Raw genomic sequence first — 22,853 nt, 5'->3', positions numbered from 1 at the left:
TAAAACTATGTTAACTATATAAAAAAATAAAAACTCACAAGTCTATTACCCATCAAATAACTGCTATTAATTTTGGGTATTTTCCTTTCAGACTTTGATTTTAAATATATGTGTTTAATTTTTAAAGAAACCCTATGGGCCAGGTGTGGCGGCTAACACCTGTGATCCCAGCACTTTGGGAGGCCAAGGTGGGAGGACTGCTTGAACCCAGGAGTTTGGGACCAGCCTGGGCCACATAGGGAGACCCTGTCTCTATAAAAAATTAAAAAATTAGCTGGGTATGGTGGTGAGCGCTTGTAGTCCCAGCAACTGTGGGCTGAGGTGGGAGGATTGCGTGAGCCTGGGTTGCAGTGAGCTGTGATCATACCACTGCACTTTAGCCTGGACGACAGAGCAAGACCCTGTCTCAAAAAAAAAAAAAAAAAGGAAACAAGAAAGAAACACTAAAGCTGTGTTTCTGGTATATACAGAATGCTACATCCTGCTGTTGGATGCTATTAAAACCTCCTGGTAAGCAGAATTCTAAATGGTTGCTTCACTGAATGGACTATCATAATTTACTTAATTATTCCCTTACTTTTGTAGATTTAGGATGTTTCTGAACCTTTGCTATTAAAAAACAAACTGCTGTGAGCATCTCGTATAAAAACATAATGCATAGATTTTTAATAAAATAATTTTGATTTTATATTTAATGGAAGGTTTTCAGAAAGACCCTTCATTCATATTTTAGTATAAGGTAAAGAAATAAAAGAGTATTTTTATCTCTACTCTTGCCTAAAGAGAGAAAGGGAGGAATTGAAAAGGCAAATAATAGTTCAAAACAGAATATTCAGGAGGTTTCAAGATTCTTTGATTACAGTCTGGCTTCATGACTATTTCATCTAGATGAAGAGGTTGAAACTCATAGATTTACTAATTATATGACCAATTTTTAAAGGCTGTTGACAATTTACTCATCATATGCAATTAGTACATTATTTATATTGTGATGAAAAACTTACAGGGAGCCTCAACCCTTAGACAACCAAAAGCAAAAATGTGTGTGTTTTGGGAGGAGTGGACATATTAGGAAACACAGTAGCTTTTCTTTATTCTCTGCTCCCACCAAGGGGCCCCGTGTGTTCGGAGGCACTAGAATTGCGGGTGCAGAGCCTGAGGTTCAAGCAACTGGACCGAGTCTACCAGTTCACTGCACACATTCTCCTCACCAGCCATTTCCCGTAAGTGGCTGTCTCTTCCAGCTGGGCTTAGCTCCAAACTGGAAACATGACATCTGTGGTTTAATGCTGCAATTAAAAGGAATTTATTAAAAAACAACAACCCAAAGATATCATAATTGCAAATTTACTAGGCTATGGTTTAGTGAAACACAGTGTAGCTTGTTGAATAACTGAACCACACCAGGGACTGTTAACCTTTTGCCATAAGTAAAAAAGTATTTCCTGGGGTCACAAACAATGGCACGATGAGGGAGAAGCCAACTGGCCTGGAGTTTAGATGTCAAGGAGGAAGTCAGTTTGGCTTCCTTGGATCAAGTTTTCTCTGAGCTCTCTAAATTAAGATGATTAATTTGTTTCTCATTCTGTGAGTCCTTATTTATTGCAATCAACTATCTTTTCTTATCTCTTCAGCTCTAGAGACAGTGGCGACAAGAAGGACTGTTCAAAGACCTGGATTCTACTCTTAGCTCTGCCACTATGATCCCACCTATATGGAGTTACAACTTAAGGTTACATTCGTTTATTAGTTATATCAGTGCTCCTCAATCTTTTTGGCACCAGGTACCCGTTTTGTGGAAGACAATTTTCCTATGGATTTGGGGGTGGGGATATGAAACCTCCACCTCAGATCATCAGGCGTTAGTTAGATTCTCATAAGGAGCACACAACCTAGATCCCTCAAATGTACAATTCACAACAGGATTCGTGCTCCTATGAGAGTCTAATACCATGGCTGATCTGATGGGAGGCGGAGCTCAGGGGGTAATGCTCGCTCACCCTCCATCGCCTCCTGCTGTGCGGCCCGGTTCTTAACAGGCCACAGACGGGTAAAAGTCTGTGGCCCGGGGGTTGGGCACCCCTGAGTTATATGACTGTGGGCATATTTAATGACTATTTATAAAATAGATCGACTACAGTAAGTAATAAATAAAATAATGTGCTTAAAATCGTTGGCAGGATGCCTGGCATAGACACTAGCGTCAGTAGTAGTTGTAATTGTGGTGGTTGTCATTATGATTCGTTTCAGTAGGCTTCAAATTCCAAGTATTATTCTCATTTTACAGAAGGCGCAACTGAGACTCAGACATATTCATGTCTTGCACAGGAACACAGGGTAATAGGTAGAAGAAGGACTGGAATCTAAATCTCCTTCCCTTTACTGTTTCTCTTATACAGCATACTGTTTCAAGCAGGAACAAACGAAACTCCTACCACCTACCTTCCCACACCTCCACTTCTGTACATCAGGGAGCTAGCTGCAAGAAGGAAATAAAGAAGTACAGTGCCAGGCGTGGTGGCTTATGTCTGTAGTCCCAGCACTTAGGGAGGCTGAGGTGGGAGGATCACTGGAGCCCAGGAGGTTGAGCTTGCAGTGAGCTATGATCATGCTACTGCATTCCAGCTTGGATGAAAGTAAGACTCCCCCGCCCACCAAAAAAAAAAAAAAAAAAGGCCAGGTGTGGTGGCTCATGCCTGTAATCCCAGCACTTTGGGAGGCCAAGGTGGGTGGATCACCTGAGGTCAGGAGTTCGAGATCAGCCTGGCCAACATGGCAAAACCCCATCTCTACTAAAAATACAAAAATTAGCCCGGTGTAGTGGTGGGCACCTGTAATCCCAGCTGCACGGGAGGCTGAGGCAGGAGAGCAGGAGAATCTCTTGAACCCAGGAGGTGGAGGTTGCGTGAACCGAGATTGCAGTACTGCACTCCAGCCTGGGCAACAGAGTGAGACTCCGTCTCAAAAAAAAAAAAAGAAAAGAAAAAAAGAAAAAAAAAAGTATAAAAGAGATTTGGAGAAAAAGACCCAAATCAATCAACAGATTTAATCTGTTCAATGTGAAACACAATCTTAGGTTTTTTTCTTTTTTTCTTGGGGACATGAGGTGGGGAAAGCTTTGAATAAAGTCAAAATGCTCAAAATTCCTCTGTTTTCATGATCTACCTACTGCTTAGGGACTAGAAGAACTTCCCAGAATCCTTTGAGGTACATTCCAATTGTCCCCAAACCCCTGATGCATCCTTGTTCTGCATGAATTTAGCTTCAGGAAGAGAGAATTTTTTAAGAGGGAGAAATTCTCTATTTCTCTGACTAAAATGAAGAAGACCATATTCAGCACTTTTATAACCATTATATAAATACCTTGCCATGCAAATACCTTGCCATGAAGCCAACCCAGGAACTGGTAGAGCCCAGTTTCCTCTACTCCACCATCCTTGCCCCCATCATTTCCCTCCTCTTCCTCTTGGTTTTACTGCCTGAAGCTGTAGCCTCCTTTTACAGAAAAGAGATTGGGAAAGAGAAAACAAGTTAAGAAAGCACCAGTCCAAAATGTGATTCCCATTTCCACATCTCCCATAGGTAATATTCCAGAGCTCCACATGTAGCTCCATCGTTAGGAAACACGAGACACTGATGATGCACCTCACTGCTCCCAACCTAGGTGTCCTCTTCTGTGAAATGGTTATAGCTACCAATAGTTACTGCAGTAAGGATTAAATGAGATATACAAGTAAAATTCCTAGTACAATGAATAAGTACCCAATAAATTATTAATAATAATAAAACGGCAACTAAAATTTATAAAGCGCTATGGATTAAGCACTCTGTTAACAGCTTTATACATGGTCTCATTTAATCCTTATGACATCTCTGTGAAGTATTACAAACATCATCCTCATTTTACAGATGAAGAAACTGAAGCACAGAGGTTAGGTAACTTGACCAAAGGTCATGAAGCCACTAGGTAGAAAGATGTGATTTAACCAAGCCGGTCTACCTAATTGTTAATTTCCTTCTCTCTCCCAGTCCCTAGGATCTTAAGTTTTTTGTTGTCACCAAAACATCTACATTTGATCTCTACTTCTACTTGAGGATGGGGTGAGAATGAGAAAAATTTTTAGGTTAAGTGGATTGGTATATTTTCCTTCTCTTCTCTTCCTGCCTACATTAAGTTTGTGTTGCTCTTTTGACTTTCTAAGACTTATACTGTTAGGCATTCTAAGCATCAGCTATGAGCAGAAATAAATTCTGCCACGAACTGATGTAAATGTGGAAACTTACAGGAAAAATGAAATAAAGAAAGCATGTAAAGATTTACCACATCAAGAGAGTTCTTGAAGCTGGGGTGAGGCTTTAACAATTTGAAACACTTTTTTTTTTCCTAATTCTCTTTCAGATTCACTTGTACTTGTTTTATCTGTCTACAACCAGGTCCCACACTGTAAAGTATGAGGACAGAGTACAATTCACAGTCTCAAATATGTGTCTTTCCCTCCCTACAAAATGTTTCCTCTGAGGGACATTACTAGATCACAGCTGGTCAAAATACTAAATCTTGATTGTCTGGCTCCCGGCCAAAATCTACAGCTACAACTCAGTGGAATAAGAATATTTAAAAAGAAAAAAAAAGACTTTTAAACAACATTTGATCTTCTTCTTTCTCCCTCCTTGTAGCAATCTATGACCTCATGGCAGTGAGACCTCTACATGGAGGTGTTTAAGTTGGTTTACGGCCACCAGAAATGTTTGAAGCTCTAGGTACTAGTCTGCGCCAATATCATGTCAACTGTGTTAAAAAGCAATAATAGTTTCTCACCTTCTTAAAGATTACTGCTTAAATAATGCAGAGCAACGACAGGCTTGCACAGAGTGCCAAAAGCGGGTTGCCAAGGCAAAGCTGAGGTAGAATTACGTCTTTTGGCAGCTAAGAAATTATGACATAAAGTTAGTTTTTTCAAAAAAACAACCTTCATAAATTAAGCTACTATCCTTTTTTCAAAATTCAGCAAAGGTTGGGATTTATCCTTCTTCTTTCCCTCTCTCAGATCAAGTAGGAGCTCAGAACCTCCTTTAGGGAAAGCCAAATTTAACAGCTAGATCTTATCTCCCAGGAGGTAGCTGGGGGTTAATAGTTTTAAGCATGCATTCTCCAGGCCACAGGCAAGCAATCCAAAGGCCTCTCACCATTACCAGATAAGTGTAAGTACTTAATCTTTGCCCTGGATGTTAACAAAAACATGAAACAAAATAAAAATAGAAACAATATTGGGCCAAAAGCACAGGCTGAAATCTGTGCCAATGGTCACTTTTCCCCCGGGGCTTTGCTTGGAAGGTTTCCTACCAAAGTCTGTCTAAATAAAAACAGAGTATAAAAAGGTATAACTGAACAAGGCAGCCTTTGGATTTTATTTAAACCAAGTAGTGATGGAAAGATGAATTGGTGAAAGAGAAAGTTCCACAGGCAAAAGACAAAATAAGCAAGCTGAAGAAATCCAGTTCACCAGGCTTTGTGATGTGAGGTCTTGGCCATCAGGCCTCCATGGCCCAGCTTGGGCCAGTGGACAGAGGATGAGGGGGTGCCTATTGCCGAGAGCCCATCTGGAGGCCAGCTCAGGCTCCAGGCTGAGCTCCATGGGATCAGGGAATACACAGTGATCCTCCACGGAGATAAAGAGAGGTCCTGGGAGGGGTCAAGTCAACCACTTCACTCATCAGCTTTCACTTTAAGAAATCATCATACAAATTAATGTAGTAAAATCACAGTCAGGCAACCAACATTATGAGGACTGTAAAATGGTCTGTAGAAACAGACATAGCCCATCTTGATGTCATTTATATAGGGCTTAAGTAACATCCTACACGAGAACATGGAAAGAACAGGAAAGAGATGCCAGGAATGATACCTGGGGACCCCTCGGAGTATCTGGACAACACTTGATACTTGGGAATAATAAACTGTTTATGCTGAAAACCAGGGAAAAAATGAAAAAAAAAAACAAAAAAACCCAAAACCTCTGCCTTTGCCAGGGAAACCAGAGGAACAACAATCTCACAGAACCCAGCCCCCAGAAGGAACTCGATAGGGAAATTAAAACCCTGGTCAGAGAATGCTTTCAGAGTTTAAAAACTAGACTTGGAAGGGAGCTAAAGGATGCATTAGACTCCCAGGGCCAGTGACAGAATCTGTGAGATGAAGTCTTTGAAAGATACTACTAACACTGACCTACCATCAGCTCTCTAATAAACTCTCACTGAACCAAACTGTGAGGGTTTAGTTGTTTGTTACTTTAAAAGAAAAATGGATAGCTCTGCCACCATTTTCAGAGATGCTGGAGGCCTTGGGCAGAAGTGTTTGAGTTGCAATTTGCCGCAATTTAATTACTGTTTAGTAAGAGACTGGGACTCTAGAGATGACATCTTGGTAACCTTATCTTTTGTAGTCCCCTATACTCCTAAAGGAGGCAGAGTATAAAACAAATTAATTGATTTACCCCCTTATTCAAATATGTATTGAGTATCTAGCTGCGCTAGACTCTGGGGCTATAATAATTGGAAAAAAGCCATGGTTCATGTTTTAATGGAATTTATTGTCTAGTGAGAGAGGACAGACAAGTACACATACATCACATACATCAATGTCAAACAACCACCTCTGACCCAAGCTATGCAGGAGAGGACACGGGCTCAAAGAGCTTGTAGCAGAGATCTGACCCAGACAGAAAAGGACAAGATTAGAAGGGCTAGTAGAGTTCTTCACCAGGTAAAGAATGGGTTGGTGGGGAAGAGTATCTTCCAGGTAGCAGGAACAGCATTTGCTAAGACCTTTTATCAAGAAAGATAACAATGTTTGAGGACCCAAAAGGTCAATGAGTGAAGAGTTCTATGGTAGAAGATAAAACTGAGGAGGAAAACAAAGTCTGGACCATGCAGAAGCCACAAGCCATGTTTAGAACTTTCAGGCAAAGAAGAGAGAGAGAGAAAGCGAGAGAGAGAGAGAGCGAGAGAGAGTGTGAGAGTGAGTGAGTGTGTGTGTCAGAGGTGCAGAGAGAGAGAGAGAGAGAGACATTTATACTTTGGAAAGTGCACTCTGGCTGCAGTTGGGAGAGCAGAATGGAGGGGTCCAGAGTGGATGGTGGGAGACTGCAGGCTGTGCAGTAGTACAGGTGAAAGGTAATGGAGGCATGGATCAGAATGGAAATGTACAGACATAGACAAACAGAAATAGCAGGAGAAATTGGCAGGAATTGCCAGAGTTGGATATAAGGGTGAGGAAGAAAAGGAGGAACAAAGGTTTTTGCCTGGCTTCCTGGCTAGTGTAAAAGAGTGAAAAGTGGTTTCATTCGCAGAAAGCAAAGAGCTTATCGTGACTGGGATGGAAGACTGGTAGAAAAACGCATGGGCACTTAGAATGTGCTGTGAAAATGTACAGGAGGCAATTTCTGATATCAGAACTTATCTCCACTTAGAATAAAGTGAGAGAAAAAAGGGCCTAGGACTAAGCCTTTAGGAGCTCCAGCTTTTCGTGATGAGGTAGAGGAAGAGGACCCTCCGAATGAGATAAGAAGGAGCATTCAGAGAGGAATGAAGAAAACCAGGAGAAGGCTGTAATAACAAGATTCCTTTTCTGGAATCACCAGATGCTAAATGATCCCTTGTGTAAAACACTTTATTCTTAACATAGTTATAGGAGAGGTTGTCCATGTAATGGTTAAAGCAGGACTTCTAAAACTGCTCTGCCTGGGCTCAAATCTTAGCTCTTCCACTTGATGGCTGTGTCACATTAAGTTATGTAACCCCTCAGTTCCTCAGTTTCCTCATTTCTAAGATGGGAGAGGTTAGTAGGTCCTAATTCACAGGGCTGTGTGAGGAGTAAATGAGTTAACTGAATACTATGTTCAAAGTGCTTTGGAAGAGTGCCTGGTTTGCAGTAATAGTCACTTGATATTAGCTACAATGATATTAACTATTATTATAGATTGCTATCCATTAAGAGAAGAATTATAGAATAAACATCATATAAAATGATATTTAAACTCTTTAAAATTAAAACACAAGGCATTTCCTCAGATGGATCCAGAGGCTAAAACAAAATAAAACAAAACAAAACACAGGGAATTATATCTAAATCGAGCTTAAACCCAAAGGTCACAGCTGGGCGGGGTGGCTCATGCCTGCAGTCCCAGCACTTTGGGAGGCAGAGGTGGGGGGAATCACTTGAGCCCAGGAGTTCGAGGTTGCAGTGAGCTATGATGGCGCCACTGCACTTCAGCCTGAGCAACAGAGCGAGACACTGTCTCAAAACAAACAAACAAACAAACAAAAAATACCTCCCATGCCTGGCACCCAAGGTCATACTGAAACAGCCAGTGCTCATTTCTAATGCTGCTGACACTTACCAGCTTTTGATGGGCAAAGACCATATTGCTAAGCCTTCTTGAAACTTAGGACAGTGCATTCGATCCAGAAGGATACTTATTTACTGACACTTATCAACATATGCTAAAGCAGTGGCCCCCAACCTTTTTGGCAGCAGGGACCGGTTTCATGGAAGACAATTTTTCCATGGGCCGTGGGCAGGGGGGCTGGTTTCAGGATGAAACGATTCCATCTCAGATCATCAGGCATTAGCTTCTCACAAGGAGCACACAACCTAGATCCCCCGCGTGAGTAGTTCACAGTAGGGTTTGCACTCCTATGAGGATCTAATGCTGCTGCTGATCTGACAGGAGGCGGAGCTCAGGGGTAACACTCGCTCATCCTCTACTCACCTCCTGCTGTGAGGCCTGGTTCCTAACAGGACATGGACTGCTACTGGTACATGGCCGAGGGTTGGGGACCCCAGTGCTAATGAATGCCTACTGAAAAGCACTGCTTTTTTAGTGTGCCTATCTCAGTGGCTTTTGTACTAATTCCCTCTCCAATTCATTTAAGTATGCCCATCTTCTAAAACCCAATTCAAGTCCTTTTTTTTTTTGAGATGGGGTCTCGCTCTTTTTGCCCAGGCTTGAGTGCAGTGGTGCAATCTTGGCTCACTGCAACCTCTGCCTCCCATGTTCAAGTGATTCTTGTGCCTCAGCCTCCCAAGTAGCTGGGATTACAGGCATACACTACCACGTCCGGCTAATTTTTGTATTTTTAGTACAGATGGGGTTTCACCATGTTGGTCAGGCTGGTCTTGAACTCCTGACCTCAAGTGATCCGCCCACCTTGGCCTCCTAAAGTGCTGGGATTACAGGTGTGAGCTACCACGCCAGGCCTCATTGATTCATTCATTCATTCATTTTTTTTTTTTTTTTTGAGACGGAGTTTTGTTCTTGTTGCCCAGGCTGGAGTGCAATGGCACAGTCTTGGCTCACTGCAACCTCCACCTCCTGGGTTCAAGCGATTCAAGTAGCTTGGATTACAGGCGTGTACCACCACACCCGGCTAACTTTCTGTATTAATAGAGACGGGTTTTCACCATGTTGGTCAGCTGGTCTCGAACTCCTGACCTCAGGTGATCCACCCACCTCGGCCTCCCAAAGTGCTGGGATTACAGGCGTGAGCCACCGTGCCCGGCCCTCATTCATTCTTTAACTCATTTCTTTAACTCCTTCATTCTGTCTTCTTTAACCATGCCAATCTAAGTGATCTCTTTGAACTCTGAAGGTAGTACTTATGTTACCATCCAACTGATGCTTAATGTGATCACTTGCATTTTCAACACATCTTTCAGACATTACCGAAATCCACATTTCATTGCCTGACAGTTTTTGAGGCTCTGGAAATAAAGAGATGTATAAAATAAGATTCCTATCATTAAGGAGTTCCCACTCTAGTAGAGAAGACAGAGAGTTAACCAATAACCAGAACACCATGGTGCTCTGAATACAATACACACTTTGTATATTACAGTGAAGAAGGGAATCAAGTAATCAGTGGGAAGACTCATCAGAGGAGGTTGTATTTGATTGGCACCTTGAAGGATAAGTGGAAGCTAACCAGGCAGTGTACGTGTGTGTTGGGGGTGAGGTAGAGCAAGAAATGAAGGGAAGGGCATTTAAGGCAGAATAAAATACGGTATTTGTGTGCAGTCCAACTGTGGAGCCAAGTCTTGTAAACAGCATATGGGAGGGATCTAGTCTTTATTTCTGGAAACCCCCTCTTCCGCTTTCCAATATAACTTAGTACAGAGCACACAGATATTCAGTGAATATACTTGTTTTATGTATAAATGAATTTAATTAGTTGTGTGCAAAAGGAAACATTTAGGTGATGTTTTTTGGCAATGTGTTGAGAAAAACACAACTACCTCAATATATTGTTATAGTAAATCTAAATGATGAAATACTACGTAGCCATTAAAAATGATGCTAAAAAGTTTTAAAGGGCACTGATAAAATACTTAAGACATTACGTTATACAAAAAAGCTGTAAGGACTGTGCTGTCCACCATGACCACTAGGAACTGGTTGCTGGAACTTGAAATGTGGTTAGTCTGACTTGAGATGTGCTACAAGAGTAAACTGGATTTAGAAGGCTTAGTATGAAAAAAGAGAATGTAAAATATTTATTAATAATCTTTAAAATGTTTATTACATGTCTACAAGATATTTTGGATATATAACTTGGATTTTATTTGAATTAAATAAAATATATTATTAAAATTAGCTTACCTGTTTATTTTTAGCTTTTTAAAAATGTGACTGCCAGGCCGGGCATGGTGGCTCACGCCTGTAATCCCAGCACTTTGGGAGGCCGAGGCAGGTGGATCACGAGGTCAGGAGATCGAGACCATCCTGGCTAACATGGTGAAACCCCGTCTCTACTAAAAAATTAGCCGGGTGAGGTGGCATGCGCCTGTGGTCCCAGCTGCCCGGGAGGCTGAGGCAGGGGAATGGCGTGAACCCGGGAGGCGGAGCTTGCAGTGAGCTGAGATCGCACCACTGCACTCCAGCCTGGGTGACAGAGCGAGACTCTGTCTAAAAAAAAAAAAAAAAAAGTGACTGCCAGAATATTTAAATTTATATGTATGGCTCATATTATATTTCTATTGAAAAGTGTTGGTACAGATGGTAAGATCTGAATTAGAAAAGAAATACAAGGAAAACTGGCTAATACAATAGTGATTTTTTTGTGCCTGAATTATGGGGCTATTGTTTCCCTTCTGCATATTTTTACAACTTCCAAATTTTATTCATTGAGCCCATACTATTTTATAATCAAAAGGAGTAAATAGAAATAAAGAAGACCCAAGTAAAAACAATGGGAAAAGAGCTCTCAATTTGGTTCAGAGACTTGGTTGCTGGAGTAGGGGAGAGGCGGCGCCGGGATACCCAAGTGCCTTTCTGTCACCAGTGGAGGGTTAGTGCACAAAGGATGTTGGCCAGCTGTTCTCCATCCTGACTGGAGGCAGAAAAAAGTGGAAATGGGTGTTAACCGCAGGAGGGGGCCTGTTAGTTAAATATAGGGAAGAATTTCCTGAAGTGAGGGTGTTTAAACTCTGGAATGAGTTATGGAAGAAGCCTGGTCCCCTAAGGTCTTTTAAAATACTACAGATACCCATATGCCTTGTGTGTTCCTGTCTAGAGACAAGGAGATGACTCGTCAAGGTTCTTCTGAAACAGCTATCTTAGAGAAAATAACTCCAATAAAACTTTCTTTTTCACTTATTTTTGACTAGGCTTAACTTTTCATATTAGGGGTGCCGGCCTGCAAGAAATGCTCTCAAAGGCGAGCCTATCTGATACAGCTACCTTAAGTAGGACTCTTGAGACTTCAAAGACAATGTTATTTGATCTAAATTTAAAAACCAACGTCAGCTAGACAACATGTTTTTCATTTCCCTAGAGGGTCATCTGCCAGATTTCAGTTCTGAATTCAGCATAAGGATGATGGACAGAAAGGAAGAGAGTAGATCTGTTTCTAAAAAGTGAGGCTTTGTAAAGATTTAAATACTGGATACTGCCTCATTTTCAAGAGTTAAGTGGTTTGGTGTAAAAGCAGAACTACCATATCATTACTCAATTTTAAGGAAAGTAGATTGGCTCACTTATTCTAAATTTTCATTATTCTCAGTTTACTGAAAAAACATTTTCCTAAAATGTGTCAAAGTTCTTAGGTATTTTCTTCTTCTAATACTTTTATTTAAAGCTATAGCTTGATTCTATTTTCCAAAAGGAATGGAAGACTACATTAGAAATAGGTCAGCAGAAGGACTATCTGGAGATTTTACCACTAAAATGGGATGGCCTCACATAAAGCCACTAGTTACTTCTCCCAACATTAAACACCGGTGTTTGTTAAACACTAAAGTACTCTGGAGAAATATTCTAGCTTGCTGTTGAACAGCCAAGGATACTTCTCAGTGCTCTATCCTTACTAAGGTCACTGAGATTGATTCTGTCTCTTTAAAAATGGCTTGCTTGGCCCTAAAACAAAATAAGTTGGCCCAACGTTGCCCTCCATCATTGTAGCAGACTACACACTAATGATGGGCCTCAGGTTGTAAGTCCCACATGACAGCGAGAGTGAACAATGTATAGGAATATTCCTGCAAGTCATGTCCTTCAAAATATTTGTCTTATCTAATAATTTAGATTATAAACTAAACGACTGTCAACTAAGCAATGGCAGGGAAAATCTTACACTTTTGAATCTTTCTTTGTCTCCTGAACAATGCTATACGCAGAATAGACACTTAATGAATTGTCAAATTCTTTAATACTTAATAATAATCAAAAACAATACTTAATAATACTTTGCACAGTTCATTTTAGTTTATAAACCACTTTGATGAACATTATCTCATTTGGCCTACAAAAACTATGCTTGGGAAATAGTTTCCCAATAACTGGTGGTATTAACTCCATTTAAAGAACTGATACTCAGCTGGGCGTGGTGGCTCATGCCTGTAATCCCAGCACTTTGGGAGGCCGAGGCGGGTGGATCACGAGGTCAGGAGTTCGAGACCAGCCTGGCCAACATGGTGAAACCCTGTCTCTACTAAAAATACAAAAATTAGCTGGGCGTGGTGGTGCGTGCCTATAATCCCAGCTACTGGGGAGGCTGAGGCAAGAGAACTGCTTGAACCTGGGAGGTGGGGGTTGCAATGAGCTGAGATCGAGCCACTGCACTCCAGCCTGAGTGACAGAGCGAGACTCCATCTCAACAAAACAAAACAAAACAAAACAACTGATACTCAAAAACAACTTATGAAAATTAAGTGATAGCGTTGAAACTGGAACCCATATTTTCTGATTCCCAAATCTAGTGCTCCTTCCTCTGTGTTATACTACCTTGCATGAAGATGTTACATAGTTTAAGCTCTATAATCAGGAAAAATTAAACTTAGAATAAAAAAATCCTATGAAAAAAACAGGACAGATGGCTTTGAAATCTTGCTTTCATCTTATTCTTATTCTTCCTTTTTCTTATTCAGAAAAAAAGAGCATGCCATTCCAGGAAGCATTCCACAAACACTACGGGCAAATATGCTTTAGGCTACTCACCCGACCCACGTGCTTCCTTCTTCAGTGTTCCTGTTTCTTAACCAATGAAGTTGAAACGTGATCATTTTTGTTTCTTTCAGTCTTAAAGTTCTTAAATTCTTCCCAAAGTTTTATTACTTTTAGTTTCCTCCCTCTTGGAGGTAAATGAGGTAGAATAAACAACCAGGAATGTTTCCACCAGGCCTGCTGCCTGATTTCGCAGTGTATCTTTCCAGCGCTCTGGATTTGACTCTGGTGGGTTTCCCTGAGGAAGGTAGGAGGCACTAGAATAGAGGTGGCACAGAGACAGGAGGGCAGGGGAAGGGCAGAGAAGGAAGAGAATGGCCATTACCCAATAATGGGCACTGTGATATGGTAAAAAGAATATGGGATCAGGAGTCAGATAATCTGGGTTTCTGGTCCCAGTTCCATCATTTAGTATCACGTGATCTTGGCAAGGCGCTTGGCACACTGAGTCTCAGTTTTTTGGTTTGTAAAACAGTGGTCATTCTTCTTGCCCAGCTACTCTCACAAGGTTCTTGCAAGCTTAAGTAAAAACATAGAAAGTTTTGCAAGTAAGAGATTTTATTATTCGTAACTTCTAACTATGGGTGAGAGTTACCTAAGAAGGCAGGTACCAAAAAAAGTTTGTAGGCAAACAGGTTTTAGGGTACTTATCTCTAAGGCCTCAGAGTGGTCTTATAAAGGACTTGGGGAAAGTGAGAGGTAGACAGATGGTAAATCTTCCGTACCATTAATGTACAAGAGAGCATGAGCCAAAATATGAACAAGAGCCATATTCTATACCTAGCTGTAAGATGACTATAGATGTCAAAGTAAAAACACCTACAGCAAAGGATGCATTTGATTTTAAAAAGATATAGACAGTAACTACGATTCATTTACTCATTATAAAAGCTACCGCTTATTTATTACTAAGTGCCAGGCAGTATGCTAGGTACTTACCTATTTAATTCTTCTGACCACACTATTAAGTACGCACTATTACCCTCATTTTATAGGGAAAGGGATTGAGGCAGGCAGCTTAAACCTGTTTGAGGTCACAGAGACAGTAAATAGTGGTGCTGGTATTCAAATTCATAGTCCTAGTCTTTCCACCTAACTGGGCCACTGTTTCTTAACCTACTCTGTCCTATACCCCAAACCTCATGTGGCCAAATTCTTCTTTTGCTCCAGATCCACTCTCCACTGAAATGTTATCTCCTTAGTGAAGGTTTGTCTACACCCCTCACACCGGGAACTAAAGGGCTTCCTCTGAATGTTCAAAATAACTCTCCCTTATAGCATGTCGTACTTTTTACTTTTTTCAGTACATGTTGTTTTGTTCCTATTTCACCACCTTAATTAGACTGTAAGCTCCTTGAACACAAGCTCAAGGAGCATATTCCATGAGTAGAACAGCTCAGATGGCTTCTTCATTCCCTTCTCTAGCCTCCCTGGCTTCTGTAATGCCAGGCTGGGACCACAGAGATGAGTAAGACGTGGTCCCCAGACCCAAGCTGCTCAAAAGCCTAGTGGGTAAGACTCGGCAAAGAAGTGACTCTAAGCTACTGAGGGAATACACACTTATCTCTGTAGCTGCCACTGTGGTGTTGAGTGAGTGAATGAATGAGATAGGATATGAGCTGGGTCTTGAAGTGAGAGCAACATCTGGATAGGGCAGAGGAAGGGGCAGGCTATTCTGGGTAGTGGGAACTTGCCTAAGTAAAGAACGGAGGTCACAAATGAGAGTGCTATGCCTGGGGGTCTGTTGAGAAAGGGTGGGAGAGTGGTGGAGAGACAAAATCGAGGCACTGCCTGAGGACCTGGATGCTGGGGCCCCATCACACAGCCCACTCACAGCAACCTCGCACATAATCTCTTCAACTCAGTTCTAAACTTGTTGTCTTACAGGCAGCCATTAGGCTGCAGCTTAGGTGCACATTCTTCAGCACCCACATCAGTGGTGCCTGTGCATGTCAATCTGAGTCTCAGATCACTATGCAGGCAATAGTAAAAGAAAACTAGGATGTTTAAATGACATTCTGGTGACTTTCAATCACAGTATTCAAAAGAGCACAGATTCTAAGCTGAAATTCTGCTTTTCAAAATTGTGTTGCTTGGCAGTTACGACTAGGTTATAATCTTAGGATGAAAAAATGGGCACTCCTTTTGGAAAGACCTGGCATAAATCACTGAGAGCTGTGCCCTGTGCAACTGTGTTCATAAAAAATGGGGGTTCATTTTAGGATTAATCAGGTCGATCATTCTCATATTAGCTAAGAATTCCATACTGTGCAAGAAAAAGAATTACTTTATTAAGAGGATTTTTATCACAGCTTTTCTTTACAAAATAAAACAAAACAAGCTGTCACATAACTTTGAAGCTTACCATAAGGAGGAATTCAGTGAATGCACTGATCCTCAGCCAGTATGAAATCCTCAACACCAAAAGAACATACAGCAATCTGCCTCCACAGGGACCAATCTGTGAATGGTAACAACCACACAGAAAATGGAAGTGTTTTGCTTTACAAAAGATGTAAGAGCCTCCCTTAGGAACCTGAGTTTTTTTACCCTTTGCCCTAAGGAGCACAGGCTTGAGAGGTAACTCCTCACTCCACGGCTGCTCTCGGAAATTCTCAGATTTCCTCTGAGACTCAAAGTGCTTGCTCCGGCTTTGTTTAGCTTTGTGACTTCCAGCCTGGCTTCCTGCCGTGATCTTTACTTGGAACTGATATGTAGCATTCATTTTGCAGTGCTTTGCATCTACTTTAGTAGCCTATTTTACGTTACAGTACCATAAAGTGACACATTCCTGTTCACTCAGTGTTAATATGCTTGGCACAGCTGGCACAGAGGGGCACTACATTTATAAATGTATGAGCTTGGAGCTTAATGGGTTTGCTGCAACAGTGCCAGGACACCTAGATTCTACTTTTATTGCTACAGGTTCATGGGTCAATTATGCCTGGAAAGTCAATTAATTTCTCCGTACCTTAGAACTGAGAGTTGCTGGAAATTACAGTGTTTTAGGAGTAGAAGGGCAGTCAGGTTGCAATGAGGAAGCATTTATATGTAAATAATTTGAGTAAATTGTCTACAGACATCTCAGAAGAAAAGGACCTAATCCCTAAGGTTCCAGTAATTTGTTGTGATTTGTTTCTCATTCCAAATGCTTTTTCATCTCTAATTTTGTATTTGTAATTTTGTATTCTTTTTCTTAAAAAGGATTGCCAAGGAACCACAAAGCCCAGATTCTCCCCATTCTTAAAATGAATTTGCATTCCAGCCAAGGTGCCTATTCATTGCCAATAAAGCTGCTGTGTTCATAAAGCGGCTTTTCTTAAACTATTCCCTCTCTATGAGGCGATGAGGTGAGGAAGGTGGTAGGAAAGAAGGAAGAGACAGAGCACATTCTACACAGAGGAAGAGTGAGTGCAACCACTCAGACAGGAAAGAGCTTATTCACATGACTACACAGAGGCCAGTACAGCGACAGGACGTGAGAGTGGAAAGGGAGTGGTATCAGATGAGGCAGAGGCCAAGTAGACTATGGAAGAAAACTTGGATTTCACTCTTGCCACTGAAGCTGAAGAGTGATTAAGATCTAGCCAACATTTAGAAAGATCATCCTGGCTACTTTGGAGAGTGGACAGAGGCAGGACAAGACAAGGAGACAAATTGCACTGGTGCAGCTGTTTGGGTAAGAAAAGGTGGTGGCTTGGACTGGAGTGGCAATAGCAGAGATGGGAAGTGAACAGATTGATATGTATTTTGCAGATAGTGATGACAGGGCTTGCTGATGAATAAGATTAGCTCTGATGTGAGTGGAGAAAAGAAGGGGATCAAGGATGATTCCCTGGTTTGAGCAACTGGGTAGACAGGGTCCCATTAGCTGACAGGAATTATGCTGGTGGAAGGAGGGTTTTAGCTGTGTTGAGGCTGAGATGCTTCTAATACTCCCAGGGGCAGAGTCAAGTAGGCCCCTGGCTATCCAGAGTGTGCAGGAGAGGTTTACACTGAAGACAAAACTTTGGGAGTCATAAGCATAACAGCTTTCAAAATGATGGGAATGGGTGAGAACACTTAAGAAGAGGGTAGAGAGGAGGCGGAGGAGGAAAGAAAAAAAGAGAAGAGAGTACAGAGAGAAAAAGGGAAGAGGGCCTAAGATGGGGCCATGGAGAAGCTAGAAGCAGAAAGCCAGGAGAGGGCAGTCCTGTGGAAGATAACAAGGAAGAGTGTTTCAGGAAGGCAGGAATGGCCAGCAAGGCCAGGTGCCACTGAACAGGATAAGGATGAAAAGTGACCTTTGAGTTTGGGTCTATGTTTAGAATTCGGTAGGCACCAAGCTAGATAAAAGGAATTTCAGTATACTCATAGAACTAAAAATCAGACTGGAGTGAGTTAACTAGGAATTGGAGAAATGAAACAGAAACAGACCTGTAAGCATTACAGAAATTAAATCAGTAGTTAAAAATCTACACTCTCCCCAGCAACAAACAAAAAACAGTAGTTTTTTTCTAGGTTCTACCATACCTTTAAGATAGAGATACTTCCTCCTATCTTATATGAACTGTTCTGGAGAATAGAAAAGAAGGTAAAGATCCTCAATTTATTTTATGAAGCTCTTATAACCTCATCATGTTTGCTCAATTCTAACCAAAATCAGACAAGGATTTTATGTGAAAGAAAAACTGTAGGCCAGTCTCATTTCAGTTTGCAGATGGAGACATTCTAAAATATTAGCCAAGGAATCCAATAATGTAGGAAAAAATAATACACATGACCAGGGGGCAAAGATGGTTTAACATTAGAAAAATGTAGTGTTACCTCAACAGATTCAGAATAAACATGGTAAAATTCAAAATACACATATTCATGATTAAAAAACAACTCTTAGTAACCTGAGAACAGAAAAATTCTTCCTTCTGCTAATGCAGGATATCTACCCCAATCTACAATAAATATAATACTTAATGGTGAAAAATTAGAAGCATTCTCTTTGAAGTCAGAAGACAAGGATACCCACTATCACTGCTCCTGTTCTGTAATAAAACATAGTAAGACAAGAAAAAGTAACGAAGTTATAAAAATAGAAACAATACCATTATTCACTAAAAATATGATTGTATACACAAAAAATCCAAGAGAATCGAAACAAACTATTGTAACTAATGTTAGCCAGAACACACTCTCAAAATACTAAAAATCAGTGCTATTCCTGTACATCAGCCAGAAAATGTTAACTATTATAATAAAAAAATTTACAACAGCAACCAAAACTGTAAGCTAATAGGACTAAGTATATCTAATAAAAGATGCATAGACTTTTATGAAGAAAATTATAAACCTCATGGAGGTATGTTTTAAAAAAGCAAGCGATGTAACATGTTCATAGTTAGGAAGACCCAATGTCATAAAACTGTGAAATCACTCAAAGACTCAAGTCAAGAAAAGCCAAGAGTTTTGAAGAAGAGCCTTCCCTAACAGATATTTCCCTAACAGATATGGAGGTTAGCTTTTCCCTAACAGATATCAAGAAAATTGGAGGTATTTTCCTTTTCTGTTCCTATGAAGGAACATGGCTTTAGGAGTTAACACTCTTGGCTCTCTCCATCCTCTCACTCTCTCAGAGGAGGAGGGACTTTCCTGATTGGTGAATCTAGAGGGCAAAATAGCAACTGGGTATTCTTGGCTCAGCCCTATCTGGGCTCCTGAAGAAAAGTCACCTGATCGCTGTCTGCCAATGTAGTTAAGGGCCTGCCTCTGTAGGGAAAGCCTATGGCTCTCCAGTTTACATTGTGATTATGAGGATAAGTTCAATTTTGAGTGACATCTTTGCAAGCCCGTTTTATTTCAGATCTAAAGCCCCATTTTCCAAGTAGCTTTATCAATAGTAAAATGGACATTTTGATTTTTATTTCATTCTCAAATCTCAACAACACTTTTAGAAATTACATCTTACAATAATTAAAAATGTCATACTAATCGATGGCTAGCCAAATAAAGCAACAGAACAGAATAGGGATCCTGGAAATGGATCTCTATGGATAAGCGAACTTGGTTTACAAAAGAGATGCCATTATCATCAGTGGAGAAAAGACAGACACTTCAGTAAATGGTTCAGGGACAATCTGCTATCTGTACTGAGCAAGATTCATTTAGTGTGATTAATTAGTGTTGTAGGTTGCCAATTTTCTCATTATTTTAGGTTATTTACCATTGTGTTAGAAAACCTCTTCATGAATTCTGTGCCTTGTTTCCAACTGGACCACAAATCTCTTGGGGACAGGGCTTGAGCTTTCTCATCTCTCTAAAGCACCTATCACAGAGCTTTACACAGAGACAAGCTAAATAAATACCTGCTAGCTCACTTTTATTATTCTTATTACTTTACTTTAAAACTTAATTCCTCTCTCATATTCCTGAAGGCATCCGGGTCCATATCAACACCAAGCTTTAATAATTATTTTGATGTTTTGAGTGGAATTCTTTAAACAGTTGTGTATTTGCTTAACAGGAGTCCTATCTAAGACCAGACATCTGGAACTTGCCGTTTTGAAAATCAAAGTAAAGACCAACCACAGTTTTTTTACTTTTCTGAAGGCACATCAGCAGAGCAAATCAAATTTCAGAGAGGTAGAATTTCAAATCCACACAGCAGATGATGAGAAAAATACCTGGAATCAGAAGCCAGTGCTGCCCCCAGCTGTCTAACTCTACAGGCCTGCTTTCCAGGCACGTGATTTTGTAAGTTACTGCCCACTACCCAAGGATTCAAACTTCAAGAATTACTAAATGGATACAGCCAACAACTTTCCATTTAGGTCAAGTGAATGAATCTAATGTCTTCTTTCTATCAGACTTCCCCTCTCTCCTTCTCTTTTCAAAGGTCCATGTCTATCCTGACGGAGCACTTTCAGCAGCAGCTTGCCCTCACGGTTCAACAGGTACTGACACCACACACAAGAAACATTTCAGAATGTACCTACTGGTCTCAAACTAAGTCCTGACCCCCTGACCTATTCCTTATCTGCTTTCTTCCTTTAATGCTCACAGCCATGGTCCTGATGCTCATTCTATAATCAGGCCCTTCACCTGTTCTTTGGAAAGGTCCAAGGGGCTCTGGGTCTCCCTTACCATGAATCATACTGGCTGTCTTCCAGTTTGTCTCAGCAATGCCCTCAAGGGCTCCTTGCTCAGCCACCTTCCCAAAGTTCAAGCAATATCCCCTTGGCCCCTCCTCCCTCCAAGGGGGCTACATCCTCCTTAGCCAGACGGGAGCTTAGATCTCCCCAACTGTGATGGCGCCTTTCATTTTCCTCCCATATCTCATTACAGAAGAAAACTCAGAGGCAGGTGTGGAGCAATGTGGAAGTCAGAAAAGATTTTCAGGATCCTATCCACATTACAGTTTCTGGTTATCAGAGATAAAGGTACTCACCACCTGACCATTAGTCCATGCTCCATGAAGTTTTTCAGGTTGGGAAGGGTTTGCCGCAAGTCTGGAGTCCCTAGTCCATGTTGATATCTTAGCTGTGAAGGTGAAAAAATAGAATTAAAGATATTTTGGCAGATTATAAGCTTCGGAAAAATGAACCACTAAACAAGTTATTTTTTTGAACTCTAAAAGAGGAAATGTAAATGTTTGATACTATTATCAGCCTCACAGTACTTTCCACTTACTGGGTATTTGACATATAGATAAGCACGTGTATGAGTATGCACACCCACTTAAATTACGATGGTATTTAAGGTAGCCTCTTCATCTACTTACTGTTCTCTTGCCCCCTAAACTTAGAGAAGACTAAGAGTGACCAACTGTGGAATGAGGATATTTCAAAGACCCCTGTATCTAGCCTTCTTTTCTACCCCCAGACCCTGGTAGGGTTTGCTAACACCAACTCCAGGGACATATACCAGAAAACCAGTGTTTCTTTTTAGATATTGCCAGCTTCCATTCAGCCCTCCCCTTTGTATAAACAAGGGTAAGGACCATCTTGTATTCATCTCTGACTCCAATAGTGTCTGGCATAGTGCTGGTACTTATTCAATGCTTATTAAACAAATACATTGCAACTCACTTTTGACAGAGGCTGTGCTCTGTATTTCTCTTGAGTCTCTAACGTTCCTCTTTGTCCAGACCAGAGCACATAGCTGGAGAGGTGGTACAGGGAAACTGCTGGTTTGTGGGCTAGATCTGCCCTTTGTTTGATTTATTTCTGGTAGAGGCCAATTTTCTAAAATTAAGTGTCCTTCTGAGTACTCTGGATAAGTTGCTAATGGTTTTCATCGGTCTGTTCTTCACTTCCTTTCACTGTGTCTCTGAGTATCACCATTTGCTTCCGTAACTGACCATAAAGGAGAGCCGAAGTAAGTGGATGTGCATATTCTCACACATGCTCATCCACACATCAAACACACAGTAAGTGGACAACACAGCTCTGCAAAAATGTGTTTTTCAAATGACATATTACACATGAAGAAAGTTTATAGACTTTATAAAATGTATGTCTGTGTACAAATGTGAAGGGGCATCGGTCTTAAGGTTTAACTCTTTTAGCACTTAAATTTAAGAGTGGCTAAGTCAAACTTTTAAATATATCCCTCTCTTAAAGAATAAAACCACAAATCATGTGAATAGAAAGCAGGCCTTCAGAGTAAGACAACAGGGGGCATAAATAAACACCTACTAAAAACAGTCAGTTTTCTTTTGTTTGACTCTAGAATTCAACTGATTTTTCTCTGCTTGAGTGATACTTAGAGAAAGAGTTCACTCTCACTGATTCTGGGCTTTTTAAGAAAAACCTCCAAACATAACTGGGTCTCCTGAATGGTTTGAATGAATACACACATAAAGTAAGGATGTAGAAACATACAATGTTAAAACTAAAAGGTATCTTGAATATTATTTCAGCCAATCCTTTTCTTTTGCAGATGGGAAAACTGAACCCCAGAAAGGGGAAGTAAATTATCCAGGGCCGCATGGTTCAATGGCAAAGATATTATCAGCCAGGGCCTCCTTTTCACAAACCATGCTACTCTCTACCACCTACCCCAAAGTCTGAGACGAAAACTGGTAACAATACTTGAGAAAGCAGAAGGAAAATAGTTTTTTCCTTTTTCAAACCTAGCTTGGTGACCTAAATCACCTCCTGAGATTTGCAGACCTTGAATTATAAGATCTACCCCATATTAAATGACATCATTTCTTGTATTAATATAAATGCATTTTTCCATACATTGATAAAAGCAAAATGGCTGATATCCCAACATGACGTTCCTGAATTCATTGTTTCAATAAGAAGTGAAATCGTTTACACATGGCATGGAAATTTTACCTGTGATTCATACCGAAAAATATTAAACATCAAGGAA

The 22,853-nt window shown here is 40.8% G+C and overlaps 1 protein-coding gene across 7 annotated transcripts in view, besides 1 other annotated feature; it reads right to left on the bottom strand.

Moving 5' to 3' along the window:
- UVRAG (UV radiation resistance associated) overlaps nt 1–22,853 on the bottom strand; it is a 329,023-nt gene that overhangs the window by 7,298 nt on the left and 298,872 nt on the right. For 4 of the 7 annotated variants that reach the window (NR_170160.1, NM_003369.4, NM_001386672.1 and 1 more), the window contains one exon: nt 20,920–21,011. Coding sequence is in view for 5 of the 7 variants with exons in the window: in NM_003369.4 (NP_003360.2) it covers nt 20,920–21,011 (92 nt within the window). In the remaining 2 variants the exon portion in view is untranslated. Of the gene's footprint in view, nt 1–1,211; nt 1,290–13,493; nt 13,757–20,919; nt 21,012–22,853 lie in introns of all 7 variants that reach the window. The other 3 variants (NM_001386671.1, XM_047427520.1, NR_170161.1) reach the window with 2 other exon arrangements.
- Nucleotides 15,665–16,392: an enhancer, noted in NCBI's record as "NANOG hESC enhancer chr11:75831587-75832314 (GRCh37/hg19 assembly coordinates)". NCBI's record gives its function as "activates a minimal SCP1, AML or CMV promoter by ChIP-STARR-seq in primed H9 embryonic stem cells {active_cell/tissue: H9 hESC(primed)}" and the evidence as "EXISTENCE:reporter gene assay evidence [ECO:0000049][PMID:30033119]".

Source organism: Homo sapiens, chromosome 11 (assembly GCF_000001405.40).
Source record: "Homo sapiens chromosome 11, GRCh38.p14 Primary Assembly".
Taxonomy (NCBI): Eukaryota; Metazoa; Chordata; class Mammalia; order Primates; family Hominidae; genus Homo; species Homo sapiens.
The sequence above is the reverse complement of the archived record's forward strand: the minus strand, read 5'-3'. Positions and strand labels throughout refer to the sequence as shown.